This window comes from Homo sapiens, chromosome 5 (genome assembly GCF_000001405.40).
Source record: "Homo sapiens chromosome 5, GRCh38.p14 Primary Assembly".
Classification (NCBI taxonomy): domain Eukaryota; kingdom Metazoa; phylum Chordata; class Mammalia; order Primates; family Hominidae; genus Homo; species Homo sapiens.
The window spans coordinates 131,797,944-131,821,837 of NC_000005.10; the positions used below are offsets into that span (position 1 = coordinate 131,797,944).

The 23,894-nt window shown below is 40.1% G+C and overlaps 1 protein-coding gene across 1 annotated transcript in view; it reads right to left on the minus strand.

Annotated features, from left to right (window-relative positions):
- Positions 1-9,046: 9,046 nt before the first annotated feature.
- The window catches only part of MEIKIN (meiotic kinetochore factor), a 138,674-nt gene continuing 123,826 nt past the window's right edge, over positions 9,047-23,894 (minus strand). The window contains exons 12-13 of the mRNA NM_001303622.2: positions 20,797-20,920; positions 9,047-9,315 (exon numbers count right to left, since the gene is read on the minus strand). Coding sequence (NP_001290551.1) covers positions 9,293-9,315; positions 20,797-20,920 — 147 coding nt within the window. The 3' untranslated portion in view covers positions 9,047-9,292. The remainder of the gene's footprint in view (positions 9,316-20,796; positions 20,921-23,894) is intronic.

Genomic DNA, 23,894 nt, shown 5'->3' on the forward strand with positions numbered 1-23,894 from the left:
TTAGTCAAGTTACAGGGAAGAAACGCTTTCTAAAAAAAGAAAAACATTGCTCACATGTGACCTCACAGTCTTATTTAACCCATGGAACCAAAATATATCAGAGTTTGTATCAAACTAATCTTATAAATTTTCAGCAACCCCATCCATTCACTCACTCCCCCTCCAGGATGAGGAAGCTCGTACAATGGGATGTAATCCTCAGAGAAATTTAGGAAATAACTTGTATATGGTTGGAAGGCTGGATAAAAATACTTTGGGCAGGCGTGGTAGCTCACGTCTGTAATCGCAACACTGCAAGGCCGAGGCAGGCAGATCGCTTTAGCTCTGTAGTTCGAAACCAGCTTGGGCAACAGTAAGACCCTGTCTCTACAAAAAAAAAAAAAAAAAAAAAATTTTAATTAGCCAGGTGTGGCCGGGCGCTGTGGCTCACGCCTGTTATCCCAGCACTTTGGGAGGCCGAGGCGAGTGGATCACCTGAGGTCACGAGTTCAAGACCAGCCTGACCAGCATGGTGAAACCCCGTCTCCAAAAAATTAGCCGGCGTGGTGGCGGCGAATGCCTGTAATCCCAACTACCTGGGAGGCTGGGACAGGAGAATTGCTTGAACCCAGGAGGCAGAGGTTGCAGTGAGCCGAGATTGTGCCATTGCACTCCAGCCCGGGCAACAAGAGCGAGACACCGTCTCAAAAACAAACAAAAATTAGCCAGGTGTGGTCACGGCGCACACCTGTGGTCCCACTCGGGTGGCTGAGGTGGGAGGGTAGCTTGAGTGTGGGAAGTCAACGCTGCAGTGAGTGCCACTTGTACTTCAGCCTGGGCAACAGAGGGGGGCCCTATCTCAAAAAACAAATACTTTTTGAGAATTTCATTTAATTAGGTATACAAATTAAATTTTATTTTCTTTAAGTGGCTACCAACTCCCACTGATTTGCAGCTAGAGTTTATGCTCTAAATAAGGGTCTGAAGATATTTAGAAAAGAAAAAGTAATAGGCAGAATTTATATCTCTTTGAGAATTTGTCAACAACCAAAATACTGAGTTTCAATGTTCCAAGACTTTTTTAAAGCACTATTTATTGATGATTAAGATAGTAACATATTCTTTCCACAATCATTTATGTTCTAGGCAGTGGGGATCCAAAGTAAAAAAGAGCTAACTTTCTAGGTGAGGAGACAGTAAATAAGTATTTAAAGTTATTGCACTATTTATTGATGATTAAGATATTAACATATTCTTTCCACAATCATTTACGTTCTAGGCAGTGGGGATCCAAAGTACAAAAGAGCTAACTTTCTAGGTGAGGAGACAGTAAATAAGTATATAAAGTTATTTCAGATAGTAACTAATGTTGTGGAGTTAGTAAGAAATAAGCAATGAAATGAGGGTGTCAGCAAAGTCTGAGGAGGTAACATTTGAGGTGCTTAGGTTGAAAATCATTCAGTTGCTCTGTGTATTACCCAAGGTCCAGAAACTACTGGGCAATACAGGATCAAAACAGCAGTACTATTTCACCTAGACATTTCAGATAATCCTCTGGCATCAAATGCTGAAAGATTTCTAACAGGGTAAAATGAGCTGTGTATATTTTTCTCACAAAACATTTGAATGTAGAATGAAAAATGAAGTTTTTGTAAACAAAAAAATAAAGTCAATGCAATTTTTAAAAAGTAAACAGAAGTGTAGATCCTATCAGTCAATTAATGGGGCAATCATTTGGGAAGTTTTGTTTTTACACTAGTTAAGTTACACTAAATGAGTACAAGTGGAAACAGGCCAAAGTCTGTCTATACGGGACCAAAGACACTAAGGACTAATGGCTGTCCATGACTGGCACAGAAAAGAGTAGTTCCAGGTCCCCTCAGAAGGAACTTTCCAAATACAATAACCTTGTGTGCTTTCGTCTTGGGAAAAAATTACTTCATGGGTAATTATAGATATTAATAGTAAGGGAAAAGAATATAACTGCTTGCATAAGAGACACTTTCAGTATTCTCTAATCATGTAATAGCTTTATTTCTGTAGTCTCATTTAGTCTTGAAAGGTACAGAGAAAAACTAGATTTACTTCCTATTATTGATCACATTTCTCCTACATTGCAGTGTAATACTAAAGTCACAGAATCAGAGAGCGCTGAAATGATACAAGTTTGTAATAAAAGAGGACAAAACTATACATAATTATTCAGATTAAAATTTAAATATTTCAATTTTAGTATCAGTGAATATTATCTTTTATTTTTCCTTTTACTTAGTACTACATCCTATCACAGAGAAGCTGAGGTGTCTTACAGGCAGCCTTTGTAAGTTTAAGGAGTCAGCAAAGAGGAAATGTGAGAAAGAAAATAATTACCTACTCATTCATGCTACGTTATATCAATGTGGAACTACTGGGTTACAAAGATTAGACATAAGGCCTACTACACTCTCACTCAAGGGTGGAAGATTTAGTCTCCTCAAAACTCCAACAGTCTATAGATTTCTGTCCACCTGCTTCAAAGATTCCCCTCCTGATAGCATAAAAGACAGGCACTCTTTGCTATAGGCATTTCCTGGTTACTACATATAGGAAAAGGTGGCAATAAAACTAAAATCTTCCTCAACCATCATGCTAATAAGTATAGTCTCAATTATGCTGAATTATCATGAAACAAATTATAATTTCATTGATGACATCTCAGAACAAGACATTCAAAATCAAGATGATCAAGTAGACCTGCCCGAAAAACATTAAATGGGCTCAAGTTACCCCACTTTTAAAAACTCCTAAACCAACTGACCATTTATTGCTATATAATAAGGAAATGGCAGTATTCTGAAGCACCAGAAAACATAAACAGTGATTTATTCAACAAACATTTCTTGAGTCCCTCCAACATCTCAGACTCTACTGTAGGCACTGGGAATATGGTACTGAACAAGAGAGTCCTTATTCTTAGAAACTTAGTTTTTTGTGGGAAGAGACAAAATAAACAAGATGTTTGCAAGGTGTGCTAGGAGCCAGGAAAGAAAGCATGGATAGCAAGCAACTGATGGAGACCAAATTTAGATAGGGTGGTCAGGGAAGGCCTATCCAAAGATGCGTGATTTTAGCTAAGATGTAAAGAATGAAAAGGAACCAGCTATAGGAAGAAGGTGGTGAAGAACATTCTGGCAAAGAGAAGAAAAAGTACAAAGCCTCTAAGAGAGAAATGGTTTTGGCCTGTTTGAAGAGGAGAAAGGAAGCCAGAAGAACTAAAATATACTCTGAGAATGGGAGATGGTTTGAAATGGTTAGAAAGGTACAAGGGGCCAGATTATGTAGGACCTTGTAAATTATGGAAAGGAGGTTAGACTGAGTGTGATGGAAGCTATCAGAGGGGTTTGAAATAGGAGAGGGACATAACACAATTTATGATTCTACTGTGGCTGTTCTGTGGAGAAGGAATTTTAAAAGAGGAAGAATGGAATCAGAGATGAAATAGGTGACTACTTGTACTTTAGGAGAGAATTGATGGTGGCGAGCAAGTTATTTTGGAGATACACACTTCTAATAGGAATGAAGGAAAGAAAAAGATGACTCCTACGTTTCTGCTGTGAGCAACTTAGTGGGAGTTATTTCCTGATTAAAAGACCAGGGAACACATGGATTTTAAGAGGAAAACCAAGCATATTAAGTTTGGATGTATTAAGTTTGAATTGCCTATAAGACATCCATGTGGAGATACTGACTAGAATATATGGGGAGAAGCTAGGATTAGTGAGAGAAATTTGGGAGGCATCAGCTTCTAGACAGAATTTATTTTTATTTATTTTTTTTGAGACAGAGTCTCACTCTGTCTCCCAGGCTGGAGTACAGTGGCACGATCTTGGCTCACTGCAAGCTCTGCCTCCCAGGTTAACACCATTCTCCTGCCTCAGCCTCCCCAGTAGCTGGGACTACAGGCGCCCACCACCATGCCTAGCTAATTTTTTTTTTTTTTTTTGTATTTTTAGTAGAGATGGAGTTTCACTGTGTTAGCCAGGATGGTCTCGATCTCCTGACCTCGTGATCCGCCCACCTCTGCCTCCCAAAGTGCCAGGATTACAGGCGTGAGCCACCGCGCCCGGCTGACAGAATTTAAAATAATGGAATGGATGACTTTACGTGAAGGGAGTGTATATATAAAAAAGAGGGTTCAGAACTAAGACCCAAAGAGGATAACACTTACAGGTCTGGAAGAGAAAGATCCAACATAGAAGAATGAGAAGGAGCAGCAGTAAGACAAGAGAAGAAAATGTCTCTAAAAAGAAATGAGTCAACTGTGTTGAATGATGCTGAAAATTCAAGTGTTCATTAGATTTGTCAATATGGGTATCTTCACAAGAACAGTTTCAATGGAGTAATGTGAGTGAAAGCCTGAAGCAGTTTCCAAAAGATAAAGGGGGCAAAATGGAAGTGGTAAAGCAAATGCAGACAACTCCTCTTTTTTTGCTGAGATGGGGAGCAGAGAGGAGATGGAAAGGGACAATTGGTTTTCTTTTGTTTTAAGATGGAAGATAGTAGAGAATTTTGTATGCAACAGAAACAACCTAATAGGGATGGTGAAAATAAGCACCTACTATGTTCCAAGTGCTAGGAATACAATATGAACAAGATGGGTACAGGCCCTGCCCTTAAGAAACTAAATAACAAAAAAGCTATTACAGATTGTCATAAGTTATTTCAGGGAATCAAACTTTTCCTTCAAATATAAATTGGCTTGAAATCCTCATCTTGAATTCTATTATAAGTGCACAAAACTATGACAAAAATTATTTCAAAAAATATTTTCCAAACATTTAATATGCTTAATATGTATCTGTGCTAGAATCGAGCAATACAATAAAGAACAAGACATAGTTTCTGCATCAAGGACCTTACAGTCTAGGGAGAAAAAAACAATTGACAGGCTGGGTGCAGTGGCTCACGCTTGTTAATCCCAACACTTTGGGAGGTCAAGGCAGGTGGATCACTTGAGGTCAGGAGTTGAAGACGTGCCTGGCCAACATGGCAAAACCCTTGTCTGTACTAAAAATACAAAAATTAGCCAGGCATGATGGTGCACAGCTACCAGCAGTAGTAGTCCAAGCTACTACTCAGGAGATTGAGGCAAGAGAATCGCTTTAACCCAGGAGGCGGAGGTTGCAGTGATCCGAGATTGTGCCACTGCACTCCAGCCTGGGTGACAAAGAGCAAGGCTCTGTCACAAAAAATACAAAATAAAAATAAAAAATGGACAGGCAATTATAGTACATTTTGATAAATGCTATGATGCGGGAAACTCTAGAAAGATTTTGATTGAGTCCATTAGTCAGGATGTTCTACATTGCACATGATAGAAAACCCAAACAAAACTAGCGTAAGCAAAGAATGAAATTGATTAGCTCTCATAACTGGATCTAGTGTAGATGAACAGTTCAGGCACAGCTTTATCCAAGGACTGCATCAATGGTATCGAGAATTCAGTTTCTTCTTCTCATCTCTAATTTCTCTGTGCAGACTCTATTCCAGGCAGTGTTTCCAAACATGGACATAAGCTGGCTGCCAGCAGCTTCCAGGATATATCCTTTCAGATGAAAGTCCAAGAGAAAAAGAAAAGTCTGTCCCAGCATTCCAAGAAAAAAACTCTGATATTTAATCCCAATAGGATCATTTTAGGCATTGGACCCATCACTGAACCAATTACTGTGCCAGAGTTGAGAAGGCTAACATGCATTGGCTTATGCCATTAAAGGCCTACCCCTGGAACTATGGGTGGGATCAATCCCACCTAAACCATATGGCTGAGAAATGTAAAATCCACTTAGGATAAAGTTAGAAAGGCAATGGATAGATGCAGGGGAAGTCACCACACATGTCCACTACCAATATCCATAACAGAGACAAAAACTTGGGGTCAGCTGCACAGAGATGGTAACTAAGCCATGAGTATATGAGATCACCCAGTGCAAGTGTTGCATGAGAAGATGCCCCAGAACAGAACCCCAGGAAACACCAAAACTTAAAGATTGGGCAGAAAAAAAGGAGCCTTTGTAAGAAATGGAAAAGAGTGAGCTAAAGATGAGATGAAAGCCTGGAGGGTAATGTTTCAGAGAAGTCATTCTTTTCTGGAGGCTTTTAGGAAGAAAGTACTAGTCTATAACATCATTAGCTGGAAGAAGTTGGGTAAGATGAGAACTGAAAAATACCCCTTAGATTAGCATCAAGGAGGTTGCTGGGAGCCTTAAGGGGAACAATGTCAGCGGAGAAACAAAGCTAAGGCCAAATTATGTGTGTTTGGGTATGTTTAGGAAGGGTGAAAGGTGAGGGGTCTGTGACAAAGTAGAAAGCACGCTCTTTAGGAAACATGAATACAAACGGATGAAGAATGATAGGCTAGCTAGAAAAACATATGGAGTCAAGGTAGGATTTAACATGTAAGATGATGAAACATTTTAAAATTCTGGTTAGAAAATAAGAGTAGAGCAGGAGAGGTTGAAGATAACTTATCTGGAAAGTTTGGGCATCACACCTTTATATAAACATATATGCTATATACACAACATAAAAGGCTATTCATTACTGAACAAACCATGATGAATGATATCTTGGAGAGGTGGGAAAAAAAGTTCTAGTTAAAAATGGAAATGACATCAACTTTCATGTACTTTTTTTTTTTTTTTTTTTGAGATAGGGTCTTGCTCTGTCACCCAGGCAGGAGTGCAGTGGCACGACCATGGCTCACTGCAGCCCTGCCTCCTGGGCTCAAGCAATTTTCCTACCTCAGACTCCCGAGTAGCTGAGACTACAGGCAAGCACCACCACTCCCAGCTAATTTTTGTACTTTTTTTGTAGAGATGGAGTCTCCCTACGTTGCCCAACCTGGTCTCAAACTCCTGGGCTCAAGTGATCTGCTTGCTTCAGCCTCCCAAAGTGCTGGGATTATAGGCATGAGCCACTGTGCCTGGCTCTTTCATGCACTTTTAACTGAACTTTTGAGGTACTTATGACCTGAGATTTGTTTTTAATGAGATAAAATTTTAAGATATAATTTTAAATGCTTAAAAATAAAGTTTAGTTACATGCTGAAGTAAAAAGGTTGTTTCATTAACCTTTTTTAGATCGCAGACTACACTGAAAATAGATAAAAACTATGAATCCCTCATCCCAGAAAGAGATGAATTCCTTTTTTCATATTCTTCCAGGGAGATTCACTGAAAGACCTCTGAGGCCTGGAACAGATGTAAAGATTACGCATACAACCTTTTCCAAGGACTTGCCAATAGGATTCCTCTTTGGACTTCTCATGTCACCAGCCAGCAGGCTTCTTCTGCTTTACTTTTTTTTTTTTTTTTTTCTTTGAGACAGAGTCTTGCTCTGTCACCCAGGCTGGAGTGCAGTGGCGTGGTCTCGGCTCACTGCCAGCTCTGCCTCCCGGGTTCATGCCATTCTCTCGCCTCAGCCTCCCAAGTAGCGGGGACTACAGGTGCCCGCCACCATGCCTGGCTAATTTTTGGTATTTTTAGTAGAGGCGGGGTTTCACCGTGTTAGCCAGGATGGTCTCAATCTCCTGACCTCGTGATCCGCCTGCCTCGGCCTCCCAAAGTGCTGGGATTACAGGGGTGAGCCACCGCACCCAGCCATTCCTTGCTCTTAATCATAATTGAAGTTGTTATATCCTCCACTCCTAAGCCTTGAATGCCAATGCCAATTCCAATTCCTTCCTCCCTCTGACCTTTCCTTGTGCTGCAGTCTATAAAACAAAAACATTGAATGTGCCTTTTCTGGGGAGAAGGAAAAAAATATTATATTCAAATACTCCTGCCCCGTATCTTGGCTCCATCACTTCCTAAATTACATAGCCCTGGCCAAACATTTACCTCTCAGAGCTACCTATATTTTCTTCATCAGCAATGTGAAACCATCAAATGTTTATTTCTTCCACCCCACCAGGCCCAATCCAAGAATCAAGTATCTTTCCTTCTCACAGGAACCTATCACCTGATTAGAAACTAGCAAATAATTCATTCTCATTCTCTCACATCCCACTTGAAATATAAACTGCTTGAAGGCAGAGAAGAGGGCTTCTATTTCATTCCTTACTTCCCCACTGCTTATCACATTTCTTCTTTTAAAACCACCACAAGAGTTGCTGACTTAGTTGAGTATTAATTTAGAATACAGGTCTAAATTTTATGCTAGTCTCCATCGTTAACGTTCTCATCTATGTTTCTTCACAACTTTTCCATATTTCATCTTCAGATGAAATCACAAAATCACAAATAGCTTTGTTAGTGGCTTAAAGCCTTGTCAAATCATTATAAGAGTACCTTCATAGGGATGCCTTGTTAAAAATAAATACTATACAGATTATTTAACTGCAAAATAACTCATAGATGTTACAATCTTTCTTAATCCTGAAGTTTTGAAAATTTGACTCTTATGAATGTATAATATTAGTAAAGCCCTTTAGCATCAAGGACTAATCAAGTTAAAATCTCTCCAAGTTATACAACTGGACTCTGTTCACTGTACAGGATCATTGCTTTTTAAGAAGGGAATTGTTGAGATACTGCAAGTTATATTACCAAATTTTTAAAAATCCTACAGATAGTATTAGCTAAAGAAGGTTTTTTGGGGGGGGATAAGGTAATGTATTAAATAGTGTAGGACTGATTATACATATTATACATTCCCTACTTCAGCAAACCTTGAGTATAGAGTTTCTTTCAGTCAGACCTGAAATTAGGTCTCTCACTCATGTGGTTTCAATTAAGTTCTGTTATAAATAGCTCATAATATAAGCATTTTCATTTTTAGCACTTCAATAACTTCACTACTTTTTTGTTTTGTTGTTTGTTTTTGTTTTTCTCTACATTGCTTTAGAGAAAGATTTACTACTTTTAATCGTACTAGCGATAAACTTTGAAGAAAAAAAAACAATCAAAGGAAGTTACATTGTACCCTGGCATTGTCTTTCTTTTTTCCTTCTCAGACCTCTCAGGGATGAAGCCTCTTTATAAATAGCTAAAACCATCTATTTTAGTTTACAGTCTTCTAATACCAATGATTTGGTTCTTTATCTTTTAATATAAATACATATATTTAAGAAGCATATGGAATAATTTTTTTTCTTAACTGATTAAAAGTAAATGACAAGAACCTCAGTAGAATTTCAACATAGAGATATATCACAAATAACTGGAGAATTTTTAATTTTTAATTTCATATAATTTCAGGCAGACATTCTGCTTTATAGACTTTGACTTCACACTCCTGTCTTCAAAGTGGTGAAAATTCAGCCACAGCTGTTTTTTCATGCCATTTTTATTATGATATCTGGAGAAAAAAAAATAACAATAGATTACTTTGTATACAAGCAGGTGTCCAATACTTACTAATAACCAGTCTGCAGGGGAGAGAGCACTTAATGCCCAGGTCACTCTAGTTTCAGCCCATCAAGCCTTAGGAAACAAATCCAGAGGCCATTTAAAAAAAAAAAGGAATATTTGGCTCATCCCTTCTAGGACATGCTGAGGACATGTTCTCTTTGGAGAAGCAAGGAGATCTGCTCAATAACATTCTGGTGGAAAGCCCAGCAAAAATTGCTGTCAGTGGCCATCACAGAGCCTTTAACCCCAGCCTTGTAACCTGGAGCACTTGATCCAGTTGTGCTTTTCATGACCCTGTCCTCAGCCACCACCCAGGAAGTCGCCTCTCATATTCTCTTGCCCATCCTTCCTTTGCATTTTCCTAACCTTTATTACAGTTGAACCCAGGTTCCATCCCGAAGACAGGATTGATTCTGGGGCCTTTGCCCCCACATCTTGTGCCAAGAGATCCAGAGTGGAACCAGCTTTACCTAGTTAACACTGCCACTTTCATACTATCATATACCTCATCCTCTGGCCAAATCAGCCGATATCAATGGCTCTGAAATTTTGTTGCATCTAAAACTACCTAGGATTTTAAAATCCTGATATCTAGGCCATCTTCCATACCAATTAGATAAGGGACCCACATATCAGACAACCAGGAAGGTATGATGTGCAGCTAAGCTGAGAACCAGACACCTGTATCTTTGCTATTCAAAGTGGGGTCCATGGACCAGTTATGTCAGCATCACCTAAAAGGTTGTGAGAAATGTAGAATCAGCAGTCCCATTCTAAAAGTACTAAATCAAAGTCTCCATTTTAACAAGATCCTCAAGCAATTCACAAGTACATTAAAGTCTGGGAAGTGCTGGCTATACCTACTACTCTCTACTCCTCCCTGTTTACTGACCTCAGACACTGCTCGCTCATTAAAGACTTTGCAAAATGGTTCACAGTCATCCTCTCCACATGAACTTCTGGGTAACTTCCCAAATGGGTAATCAGCCCACCCAACTATCTTATCTCACCTACCCTTCAAATTCTCAGTCTTCAAATACACATCCAAGGCCATGACCTATATTCTCCCTCACCATCACCTACAGTGCATCATTTCTGATGCTTTACAATACTAGAGACCCAAAAGTCATCTCTAACTACCATTCTTTCTTACTACGCTGCACCAGTACCTATGTTAGTCACTAAGCCCTGTCAATTATACCAATAAAAAATTTCTAGTTTAAACTGGTTCTCCTAAATCCTACAAAAATCCTAAATCAGATCCCTGAGGCGATTACTTGGGAATCTGCATTATTTATAAGTTCCTCTGGTGGCCTGAGCACCACATTTTGAGATACACTAGCTCAGATACTTATTTTTTCAACTTTGCTCACTGGAACTTTTGCAAAACTCCCACTTGGCCTTTTTGTTTCTAGGGTCATTTCTTTTTCTCAAATCACCCCTATACTTCCTGTGAGAATGAGCAAGTAAAAAGTAAATTTGGGCCAAGTGTGGTGTCTCATGCTTGTAATCCCAGCACTCTGGGAGGCCAAGGTGAGCAGATTGCTTGAGCCCAGGAGTACGAGATCAGCCTGGGCATCATGGTGAAACCCAGTCTCTACAAAATACATAAAGATTAGGTAGGCATGGTAGCACCTGCCTGTAGTCCTAGCTACGTGGCAGAATCGCTGGAGCCTGGAAGGTCGAGGCTACAGTGAGCTGTGATCACACCACTGCACTCCAGCATGGGCGACAGAGCAACACTCTGTCTCAAACAAACAAAAACAAAAACACATATATACCTCTATTGGGCTTGTTTTACATATCTGACTTCCTCTATGAGACTATAAACTTTATAAAGACAACTATGTCTTTATCTCAATATCACCAGCAACTATTTCTAGCATATGATATCCAGACTCAATAAATGTTTGCTGAATGAGTGAACCAAATAACTGGAGAACTTCATCTTTTCATTCTATAACCATATGACACTAAAACAACAGACTTAAAAGGCCTCCACGATGGCAAACTAGTTGGATTTCTTTATCCCCAAGGCACTGGCTGGCATACTTCATCTCTTTATTTTCACTAGAACAATGGTTCTGTGTCAAAGACTATACACACTTACCTGACATATTCTTTACATGAGGTGGCATAACCCAATTTACCATCAATGACGCTAACCAGTCAGCATATTTTAGGCTTTTTGCAATTTGATAAAAACCAAAGAACAGGCTGGGTGCGGTGGCTCACGCCTGTAATCCCAGCACTTTGGGAGGCTGAGGCAGGTGGATCACGAGGTCAGGAGATCAAGACATTCCTGGACAACAGATGAAACCCTGTCTCTACTAAAAATACAAAAATTAGCTGGGCGTGGTGGTACGTGCCTGTAATCCCAGCTACTCGGGAGGCTGAGGCAGGAGAATCGCCTGAACCAGGGAGTCGGAGGTTGCAGTGAGCTGCCACTGCACTCCAGCCTGGCAACAGAGTGAGACTCTGTCTCAAAAAACAAGCAAACAAACGAACAAAAAAAAAAAAACAAACAAAACCAAAGAACAGTTTTCAAAAGGGAGATGAAGAAAGCTAAACTTGAGAAATTAACCTAACCTATAGAAACAAATAATTATTGCATAATGAGTGATTATTATATGTCACACTCTTTACAAAGATTATCTCTAGTCCTCACAACAATTCTTTGAGGTAAGAACTACTATTTTACCAATTTTACAGATAGGAGGCTAAAATTCAGAAAGTTTAAGGAATGTGCTTATGTAACAGTTAGGATTTGAACTTAGGGATGTCCTATTCTTAAGTGATTTGTACTACCATCTTTCGGATACTCGAATAAATATGTTTCCACTTCATTTGTCATATATCTGTGTGATACTTCTGCCTGCTATTATTATCTAGAAAATCAAATTTCTCACTAAAGATAACATATGCATCCAGTTAAAGGCCGTGATTCTACAGTACTAGACTGAGATATGAATTCATAACACATAATTTATCGTCTCTTCTGGAGCTCAAAATAGAATAAAAAAAAATCTTAAAATTTACTATAAGGATAGCTGCAGGTTTTGTCTGATTAGCCAAAAGGTATTATTAGACTTCTCTAACACCTCAAAGTTAAAAGTGTCCTCTCTTGGGTTCCTACAGTGTCTTGTTCTAGTTCTGATTCTACAAGTAATAAGCTCTGTGCATTTGGGCAAGTCACTTAACCTGGCCAGGTCATTTTTGTTATATGTAAGATGAGTAAAATAGACTAATGAAATGGTTCTCAAATGTTTGTGCTTACTGGAATCACTTTCAAAATGCAGGTTCCTGTGCCATCTCTAGAGACTGAAGTTTACCAGGTCTGTAGTTATTCTGGTGAGGTAGTCAGAAGGACCATGCATTGAGAAAGCTTAGACTAGATGTTTTCTACAGCCTCCTTTATCTGGCTGTCACTATTCCAACGACTTACCCACACCACCTCCTCTATCACATCTCTTTGGTTCACTTTCACCATTGTTTTTTATTTAATCAGCATAGTGCCAGTTATTAATGAACAAAAATCATACTGATCACAGTCCTAGACTGAAATTCAAAAGTGAATTTCACCCTGTAGTCCTGATTAGATTACTGCCAAAATAGCTAAAACTTTAAATGCCAGGACTAAAAATAGGCTGCTGCATGTTTAAAATAACATGATCACTAGTTAGCTTGGTGCTTTGCTATTTTTACTAAAGGAAAGAGAGAAGTGGCCAGAGGTTGAAAGGGAAACAGGAGGCAGCTGTTACGGTGAGAGCCTAGAAAGAGGCCAGGAGATGGCACCGTTAGTTCATTAGTTCAACATTAATGGGGAGGGGAATTAAGGGCAGTTATCTCTGTAAATTAAACTAAAAAACTTCAGTCTGAACACTCAAAAGAACCTCCCAGACACACTTTGGTTTTGATTTGTTGCATACTTAAGTCCAGAATTTTAACAATATCTAACGTCAGAAACTAATATGACAGGCCAAAAAGATCAAATTAAGAGTGTTGCTAGTGTTATTTGTAAACTTTTTCTTTTCTTTTTTTTTTTTTTAATTTTTTATTTTTGAGACGGAGTCTCACTCTGTCATCCAGGCTGGTATGCAGTGGTGCAATCTCGGCTCACTGCAACCTCTGCCTCCTGGCACCTGCAACCATGCCCAGCTAATTTTTGTATTTTTAGTAGAGACAGGGTTTCGCCATGTTGGCTAGGCTGTTCTCGAACTCCTGACCTCAGGTAATCCGCCCACCTCGGCCTCCCAACGTGCTGGGATTACAGGCATGAGCCATCATGCCTAGCCAACTTCTTCTTTTTTTTTTTGAGATGCAGTCTCACTCTCGCCCAGGCTGGAGTGCAGTGGCACGATCTCGGCTCACTGCCAGCTCTGCCTCCCGGGTTCATGCCATCCTCCTGCCTCAGCCTCCTGAATAGCTGGGCCTACAGGTGCCCATCACCACGCCCAGCTAATTTTTTGTAGTTTTAGTAGAGATGGGGTTTCACCGTGTTAGCCAGGATGGTCTCGATCTCCTGACCCGCCTGGGCCTCCCAAAGTGCTCGGATTACAGGCCTAAGCCACTGCGCCCAGCCCGGCCAACTTCTTCTTAAAGTATAACAAATACACAGAAATGTACACATATGTACAGCTTGATAGGTTTTCACAAACACAACATACCTGTGTAAACAGCACTGACATAAGGAAACACAACATTATCGGCACCCTAGAATTCCCCCTTGTAATCCCTTCCAAGTAATGCCCCCACTCCAACAAGGGCATCCACTATCGTGATTTCCATTATAGTTTAGTTTTGCCAAGTTTTATACTGTATGTAGATAATATTAAATATACTCTACTGGGTCTGGCACCCTTTGTTAAACGCATCATTATGTTTGTAATTTTGTATATAACATGTAATATGTAACAGTTGCATATAACTTTATATTGTTGATTTTCACTGCTATATAGCACTTGAATGAATGAATATACCATAGTTGATCCATTTTACTTAATGGGCATTTGGATAGTTTCCAGCTTGAGGCTATCATGAACACTGATGCTATTAATATTCTAGTAGATATTTTTTGGTGACACATATATACATTACAGTTGGGTATATTCCTACAATGAAATTGGTAGGTCTCCAAAGGCCTTCCACCTTTGTAATTTCCAGGGGTCAAGTAGTATGAGGGACATCCCTATTAAGGCGAAGAATTAGGTATTGCATCTGGCACCTCCTATAACCAAAAGGCAGACACAATGCCTAGTCAGCTTTTTTGGATGTTGGAGTTAACATATTTCTCATTTAGGTGTGCCACTCCAGCCCACTCACTGAGTGACCTAAAAAGCTGCTAGATTTGAAGGGAGGCCCAGAACAAGAGAATCATCTGCAATAGGTCGAGGTTGCTGTGGAGCTGCTCTGAAAATTGTGCCAAATGATCCAGCAGATCCAACGGTGCTTGTAGTGTTAGTGGCAGATAGAAACGCTGCTTGGAGCCTTTGGCAGGTCCCTGCAGGTGACTCCCAGGGTGAACCTTTAGGATTTTGGAGTGAAGTCCTTCCATCCTCAGTGGAAAACTACTCTTTTGAGAAACAGCTTTTGGCTTATTGCCAAATTTTAGTAGCAACTAAGCACTTAATCATAGGCCATCAAGTTACCATGTGACCCACACTGCCTATCATGAACTATGTGCTGTCTGACCTACCAAGTCATAAATTTGGTGTTAATGGCAGCACTCCATTATCAAATGGAAGTGGTTTATGTAAAATTGAGCTTGAGCAGGCCCTGAAGTCATAAGTAAGTAACATGAGGAAGTGACCCAAATGTCCATGGCCCCCACCCTGGCTACATTACCTTTTTTCTCACTGCCTGCTCTGAAGATGACATGAGGAGTTCTCTACAATCAGTTGACTGAGGAAGAGAAAACTCATATTTGATTTACAAATGGTTCTCTATGATATGCAGGTACTGCCTTAAAGTCGACAGTTAGAGCACCTACAATTTCTTTCTGGGACATCCCTAAAGGAAATTGGTGAAGATAAGTCCTCCCAGTGGGCAGAACTGAGAGGAGTGCACCCGGTTGTGTGCTTTGTTGAAAGGAGAAATAACCAGATATTTAACTATATTCTTTTTTTTTTTTTTTGAGACAGAGTCTTGCTTTGTCACCCAGGCTGGAGTGCAGTGGCATGATCTTGGCTCACTGAAAGCTCCGCCTCCCGGGTTCACGCCATTCTCCTGCCTCAGCCTCCTGAGTAGCTGGGACTACAGGCACCCGCCACCATGCCCGGCTAATTTTTTTGTATTTTTAGTAGAGACGGGGTTTCACTGTGTTAGCCAGGACGGTCTCGATCTCCTGATCTCATGATCCGCCCGCCTCAGCCTCCCGAAGTACTGGGATTACAGGCTTGAGCCACCGTGCCCAGCCGATCTTTAACTGTATTCTAGAGTGGTAGCCAATGATTTGGCTGTATGGTCAGGGACTTGGAAAGAACATTGTATTAGTCAGGGTTCTCTGAAGGACAGAACTAATACAATATATATACATAAAAGGGAGTTTATTAAGGAGTATTAACTCACATGATCGCAGAGTCCCACAATAGGCCATCTGCAAGCTCAGGAGCAAGGAAGCCAGTCCGAGTCCCAAAGCTGAAAAACTTGGAGTTCGATGTTAGAGGGCAGGAAGCATCCAGCATCAGAGAAAGATGTAGGTTGGGAGGCTAAACCAGTCTAATCTTTTCACATTCTTCTGCTTGCTTTTATTCTGGCATGCTGGTAGCTGATTAGATAGATGATGCCCACCAAATTGAGGGTGAGTCTGCCTCTCCCAGTCCACTGACTCAAATGTTAATCTCCTTTGGCAATACCCTCACAGACACACACAGGAACAATACTTTGCATCCTTTAATTCAATCAAGTTGACACTCAGTAATCCATCACAAGTGGACTGAAAAATTTGAAAGGAGGCATTGGACAGATCTTTTTTTTTTTTTTTTGAGACAGGATCTCACTCTATTGCTCAGGCTGCAGTGCAGTGGCGTGATTACAGCTTACTGCAGCTTCCACCTCCTCGGGCTCAGGTGATCCTCCCACCTCAGCCTCCCAAGTAGCTGGAACTACAGGAGTGCACCACCACACCTGGCTAATTTCTGTATTTTTTTGAAGAGATGGTTTCACAATGTTGCCCAGGCTGGTCTCAAACTCTTGGGCTCAAGCGATCCACTCGCCTCAACCTCCCAAAGCGGTGGGATTACAGGCATGAGCCATCACACCCACCCAGGACAGACCTCTCTCAATGGGAAAAAAAAGAAAAGAAGAAAAGAAAAGAAGGATGTATGCCATAAAATTCTCACCAAAGGTGATCTTAGCAGAGGAGGATTTTAATAATGAAGTGAATATAGGATAATCAAGTCTGTGGAAACCAGTCAGTCTCTATTCCAGCCACCTCTGTCAGAACAGGGCTGGGGAAAGAGGCTAACTGGTATCCTCTTTGTTCATGGCTCATGAACAAAGTGGCCACAGTGGCAAGAATGGAGGTCATACATAGGCTCAGCAATATGGATTTCCACTATCCAAGGCCAACCTGGATGCCACTGCTGAGGGCCCAACCAGTCAGCAGCAGACAACAACACTGACTCCAAGTATGGCACTATTCCTCTGGGTGCTCAGTCAGCTTTGTAGTTGATTACATTGAACTACTTCCATCATGGAAGGGGTAGCATTTTGTTCTTACTAGAACAGACCCTCGATACAGATTTGCCTTCCTCATACAAAATTCTGCCAAAATTGTCATCCATGGTCTCATGGAATGCTTTACCCATTGTCATATTCCATACAACATTGCTTCTGATCAAGGAACTCACGTCACAGCAAAAGAATTTCAGTATGAGTCATTGCTCCTGGAATTCACTGGTCTATGTTCCTTATCATGCTAAAGAAGCTGGCCTAATAGGATGATGGGATGGCCTTTTGAAGATTCAGTTATAGCACCAGCTAGGTGGCAATAACTTGCAGGGAGGGCAGAGTTCTCCAGAGGGCTATATATATGCTCTGAATCAGCATCCAATAAATGGTACTTTTTTTCCCTCCATAGCCAGGAATCAAGGGGTAGAAACAAAAGTGGCACCATGCATTATTAACCCTGGTGACCCACTAGCAAAATTTATTCTTCCTGTTCTCATAATTTTATGCCCCACTGGCTTAGAGGTCTTAGTTCCAAAGGGAGAAATTCCTCCACAGGAGACTAATTCTATTAAACTGGAAGTTAAGACTGCCCCCAGTCACTTTGGAGTCAATAGGCTAAGAAGCGACTTACGGTGTTGACTGGGGCGACTGATCCGGACTACCAAGGAGAATCTGAACTACTACTCCACAATGGTGGTAAGGAAGAATATGTCTGGAACACAGGAGATCTCTTAGGGTATCTGTTAATTTTATCATACCCTGTGATTAACGTTAATGGAAAACTACAACAACCCAATCCATGCAGGACTGCTAATGGCCCAGACCCATCAGAAATAAAGTTTGTGTCACCCACCAGGTAAAGAACCATGACCATCTGAAGTGCCTGCTGAAGGCAGAAGGAATATGGCATGGGTAATAGAAGAAGGTGGTTATAAATACCTGTTACGATCACCTGATTAGTTAGGCAAGTATCTTTGTTTTCTTCTCTCTCTTATCCCTTTATCATATGATGTACAATGTATTAATAATAGTTAACTTTATATCACAGTTTTTAAGTTACAGGATAGCAAGAAGAAGGGTGAACATTGCCCGAAACTTTGTATCCTCTTCTGGGGAAAGGGTTAGCACATTTTCAGTTTTATGCAGGAGAGTTGTAGCATGTTAGGCAAAAGTATGACTTTATTATTGTCTTTATCTGGAGATTAAATTATGGTTTAAGGAGATGCAAATGGATGCATAGTTGATAAGGAATGCGCTGTGATGGTTAGTTGTGTGTGACAACTTGCCTAGGATATATTACACAATTATTCAGTTCAATACTAATCTAAGCGTTGCTGTGAAGGTATTTTGTAGATGTGGTTAATATCTACAATAAACTTTATATAAACTTCAAGGAGATTATCCCTGATAATATAGGTAGGCCTCATTCAATCAGTTGAAAGGCCTTAAGAGCAAAACTGAAGTTTATCTGAACAAAAAGAAATCTATCTGTAGACTGCATCATTGGCTCCTGCCCAAGAGTTTCCAGCCTGCCATACAGTTTGCAAACTTGCCCAGCTATACTTCTACAGCTCCATAACTGTATAAGTCAATTCCTTGTTTTATTCTCTCCGGAATGGTAATTTGCATACGTTAGGCCTTATTCTATCCTCTATAACTTTCAACCTCTCTTTAATGTTTTCCATATATATAAAATTGGCTTTTTCTTTTGTAGGATCCTGACAAATACAGGATCTTGCTATTCCCTACCACTATGCTGATGTTATCAGAGATAGAGATAGAAAGAAGTCAATTATGTGCTTTCTCCTTGAAAACTTCATAACCTAAGGAATATGAAATATGAAAAGTCAGCACTGTAAATTAGGTTGGGTAGCAATATATTATTGTGATGGTCAATTTTAGATATCAATTTGGCTGGAATAAGGGATACTCAGAAAGCTGGTAAAGCATTATTTCTGAGTAGATCTGTTTCTGTGAGGATGTTTCCAGAAGAGACTGGCATTTGAATCAGTGGACTGAATAAAGAAAATCTGCCCTCACCCAAAGTGGTCAGGCACCATCCAACTGGTTGAGGACCAGAATAGAAAAGGCGGAGGAAAGGCAGATTTACTCTCTCTTCTGGAGCGAGGACATCCATTTTCTCTTGTCCTTGGACCTTAGAACTCCAGGTTCCTTAGCCTATGGATTCTGGGAGTTGCATAAACACTCCCCAAGTTCTAAGTCCCTTGGACTTGGACTTAGTGATGCCACTGGCTTCTCTGGTTCTCCAGCTGGCAGATGGCATATCATGGAACTTTTCAGCCTCCATAACCACATTAGCCAATTTTCATTAAAAATCCCCCTCACTGGCCGGGCACGGTGGCTCACGCCTGTAATCCCAACACTTTGAGAGGCCAAGGCAGGCAGATCACAAGGTCACGAGATCGAGACCATCCTGGCTAACACGATGAAACCCCATCTCTACTGAAAATACAAAAAAAAAAATTAGCCGGGCGTGGTGGCGGGTGCCTGTAGTCCCAGCTACTCGGGAGGCTGAGGCTGGAATATGGTGTGAACCTGGGAGACGGAGCTTGCAGTGAACTGAGATTGCGCCACTGCACTCCAGCCTGGGTGACAGAGCGAGAATCTGTCAAAAAAAAAAAAAATCCCCTCTCATATATCTCTATCTCCTTTAGGTTCTGTTTTTCTGGAGAACCCTGACAAATACAATTATTAAGTATCAAATGAGTAGCACTGAATTGAGTATTCAAGGAACTTATAAAAAAGGGATCTCTATAGACTTAGAGAATGCTCAGGGCAGGTACTGTGGAGGAAATAAGTACAAGAATTAAGAGTGGACATCTTGGTTGAATTGAAGCTGTACATATCTAACTAAATTTCAATTGCTTCATTGGCTATTTACTCATAAAAATTCCAAAGTGCCACTGAGTAATTAGACATTCTGGCTGAAGCATAGTGAGGGGAGATGTTAAGCCTTCTAAACTCAAAAAACCAAAGAAAAAACAAAACAAAACAAAAAAACACTGCATTTGGAGTTAGAAAGCTTAAAAGATTGAATTCCTCTCTACCACTTGAAGAAGTATGATCTTGGACAAATTCCTTACTACTTTAAATCTCAGAGTCTTAATATGTAAAATGGGAATAACAGTACACATCTATTATAAAGTCGTAATGAAATATAAGGTTCTTAGCACAGTGCCTTTCACAGAGGAAGTACTCAACCAATATGAGGTGAATGCAAAAACATCTCCACATCTCTAAAAATAATGCTACTAAAATTGAAACCAAAACAATACTAAATTTCACATAATTATAAGAGAAAGTATCCTGGATAAATATATTTTACATTAGTGCCATACGCTAATTTTTCAAAAGATAAAGTATCTGTCTTTCAAAAAATTATTTTACTCTGGTTCTTGTTCTGAAATCTGACCAGACTTTATTTTTTTTAATGAAGAGACAGGGTCTCTCTCTGTCACTCAGGCTGGAGTGCAGTGACCTGATGATAGCTCACCATAACCTTGAACTCCTAGGCTCTACTGATCCTCCTGCCTGAGCTATCCAAAGTGCTGGGATTATAGGCATGAGCCACTGAGTCCACCCCTGACCAGGCTTTTATAATTTTACCATTTCCACTTTCTGCAAGAACTCTTAGAATACAATTTATAATTGAATTTCCTGTGTACATAAGGCATTTTTAATGAAAAAAATGTTTTATATCATCCAAAAAGTATGCTCTGCATTCATACTACAGTACCTTGAGGGGTATCCTTAGGAAGAGAATATTTCTTCTTCTTTACAATAACACCTTTATTTTTCACTTGTCTAGTTCCTGGTGATGTTCTAATAATACAACATATTTCTGATGCATTTGCAGGAAACTGGAAAAGAAAAAAAGCAGATATTGCATAATTCCTCCAAATACTACATTTGTATGTTGCTTTATTTCAAATGCAACTAGTCTTAATATCTGTATTTCTTAGATATTAATAACAGCAAGCATTTATTAAATGCTTACTCCACTCCTAACAGTAATTGGTTTTAAAACATATGTTCATTTAATATTCACAAGAACCAAGCAAGGCAGATTATATTATCTCCATTTTATAAATGAGAAAACAGTTTCAGAGAGATTGACTTACTTAAGGATAGGGAGTAAGTAATGGTAGAGCTGAGATTCAAGCATGCTGAAGTGGGAGAGAAAGTTTGCATGATTTATTGAGTTAAAATCCAAATTTAAATTTAACTGAGTTAAACACTAAATTCCTTGATTTTTTACCTCAGGTAATGTTGACAATTTCCCATCAGGCAGATAGTCTCCAGAATAAAAAAATACCGGCTGGGCACGGTGGCTCACGCCTGTAATTCCAATACCCTGGGAGGCCAATGCAGGAGGATTCCTTGAGGCAGAGGCAGAGGTGGAGGAAGAGGCAGAGGGGGAGGGAGAGGGGGAGGGAGAGGAGGAGGGACAGGGGGAGGGAGGGGGAGGGGGGAAAGGACGGAAAGCAATGCCATGTCTTTCAGAAGTGACATATCTTGTTTTTTAGAATTAAGAAGCAGAGATGTATTTATCCAGGGCTTCTGTTATTTTAAATAAAGTCTATATAGAAACTTCCTTTTTTTTTTTTTTTTCTTGAGACAGGGTCTCATTCTGTTGCCCGGGCTGGAGTGCAGTGGTGTGATCTCGGCTCAAAGCAACCTCTGCCTCCCACGTTCAAGTGATTTTCATACCTCAGACTCTCAAGTAGCTGAAACTATAGGCATGCACCACTACATCCAGCTATTTTTTTTTTTTTTTTTTTTTTTTTTTTGAGACGGAGTCTCGCTCTGTCGCCCAGGCTGGAGTGCAGTGGCGGGATCTCGGCTCACTGCAAGCTCCGCCTCCCGGGTTCACGCCATTCTCCTGCCTCAGCCTCCCAAGTAGCTGGGACTACAGGCGCCCGCCACTACGCCCGGCTAATTTTTTGTATTTTTAGTAGAGACGGGGTTTCACCGTTTTAGCCGGGATGGTCTCGATCTCCTGACCTCGTGATCCGCCCGCCTCGGCCTCCCAAAGTGCTGGGATTACAGGCGTGAGCCACCGCGCCCGGCCTTTTTTTTTTTTTTTGAGATGGAGTCTCACTCTGTTGCCCAGGCTGGAGTACAGTCGTGTGTTCTCAGCTCACTGCAACCTCTGCCTCCCAGGTCCAAGTGATTCTCCTGCCTCAGCCTCCTGAGTAGATGGGATTACAGGTGTGTGCCACCACGCCTGGTTAATTTTTTTGTATTTTTAGTAGAGACAGGGTTTCAGCATGTTGGCCAGACTGGTCTCGAACTCCTGACCTCAGATGATCACCTCAGGTGATCTGCCTGCCTCAGCCTCCCAAAGTGCTGGGATTACAGATGTGAACCACCGTGCCTGGCTGATAAATGATCTTTCAAATGTATTGTTGAATTTGGTTTGCTACTATTTCATTCAGGATTTTTCCATCAATATTCATCAGAGATACTGGTTTATAATTTTGTTTTTTTGATGTGTCTTTCTCTGGTTTTGGTATCAGGGTAATTCTGGCCTCACAGAATGAATTTGGAAGTATTCCCTCCTCCATTTTTCAGAACAGTTTGAGTAGGATTGGTATTAGTTCTTCTTCAAATGTTTGGTAGAATTCAGTAGCAAAGCCATGAGGTCCTGCGCTTTTCTTTACTGGGAGACTATTATGGCTTCGGTCACATTACTTGTATTGGTCTATACAGGTTTTTGATTGATGGTTCAATCTTTGTAGGTTCTATGTGTCTAGAAATTTATCAATTTCTTCTAAATTTTCCAAATTATTGGCATATAGTTGCTCATAGTGGACACTAATGATCCTTTGAATTTCTGTAGTATTCATTGTAATGTTCCTTCTTCATCTCTGATTTTATTTACTTGGGTCTTCTTTTTTTCTTAGTCTGGCTAATGATTTGTCAACTTTGTTTATCTTTTCAAAATACCAACTTTTTGTTTTGTTGATCTTTTGTATGTTTCTTCAAATTCACTTATTTCTGTGCTGATCTTTATTATTTCTTTTCTTCTACTAATTTTGGGTTTGCTTTGCTCCTGCTTTTTCTAATTCTTTAAGATGCGTCATTAGATTGCTTATTTGAAGTTTTTCCTCTTTTCTGATGTAGGCACTTACAGATCTAAATTTCCATTAGTACTGCTTTTGCTGTATCCCATAGGTCTTGGAATGTTATGTCTCCATTATTATTTGTTTCAATAATATTTTCAATTTCCTTCTTAATTTTTCATTGGCCACTGGTCATTTAGGAGCACACTGTTTAAATTCCAGGTGTTTGTATAGTTTCCAAAATTCCTCATTATTGATTTTAAGTTTTACTCCATTGTGGTCAGGGTAGATGCTTGACATTGTTTCAATGTTTTGAGTGTTTTAAGACTCATTTTGTGACCCAACACATGGCCTGTCCTTTGAGAATGATTCATGCGTTGAGGAGAAAAATGTGTATTCTGAAGCCACTGGATAAAATGTTCTATAAATATCTATTAGGTCCATTTGTTCTACAGTGCAGATTAAGTCTGATGTTTCTTTGTTGATTTTCTGTCTGGGAGATCTGTCCAATGCTGAAAATGGGCTCTTTAAGTCTCTAGCTATTGTTATATTGAGGTCTGCCTTTTTTTTTTTTTTTTTTTTTTTTTTGCGAGACAAGATTTACTCTTTTGCTTTTGCCCAGGGTGGAATGCAGTGGTCCAAACACAGCTCACCGCAGCCTTAACCTCCTGGGATCAAGCAATCCTTCCACTTCAGCCTTATGTATAGCTGGTGCCACTATGCCTGGCTTTTTTTTTGGAGACATGGGGTCTCACTTTGTTACCCAGGC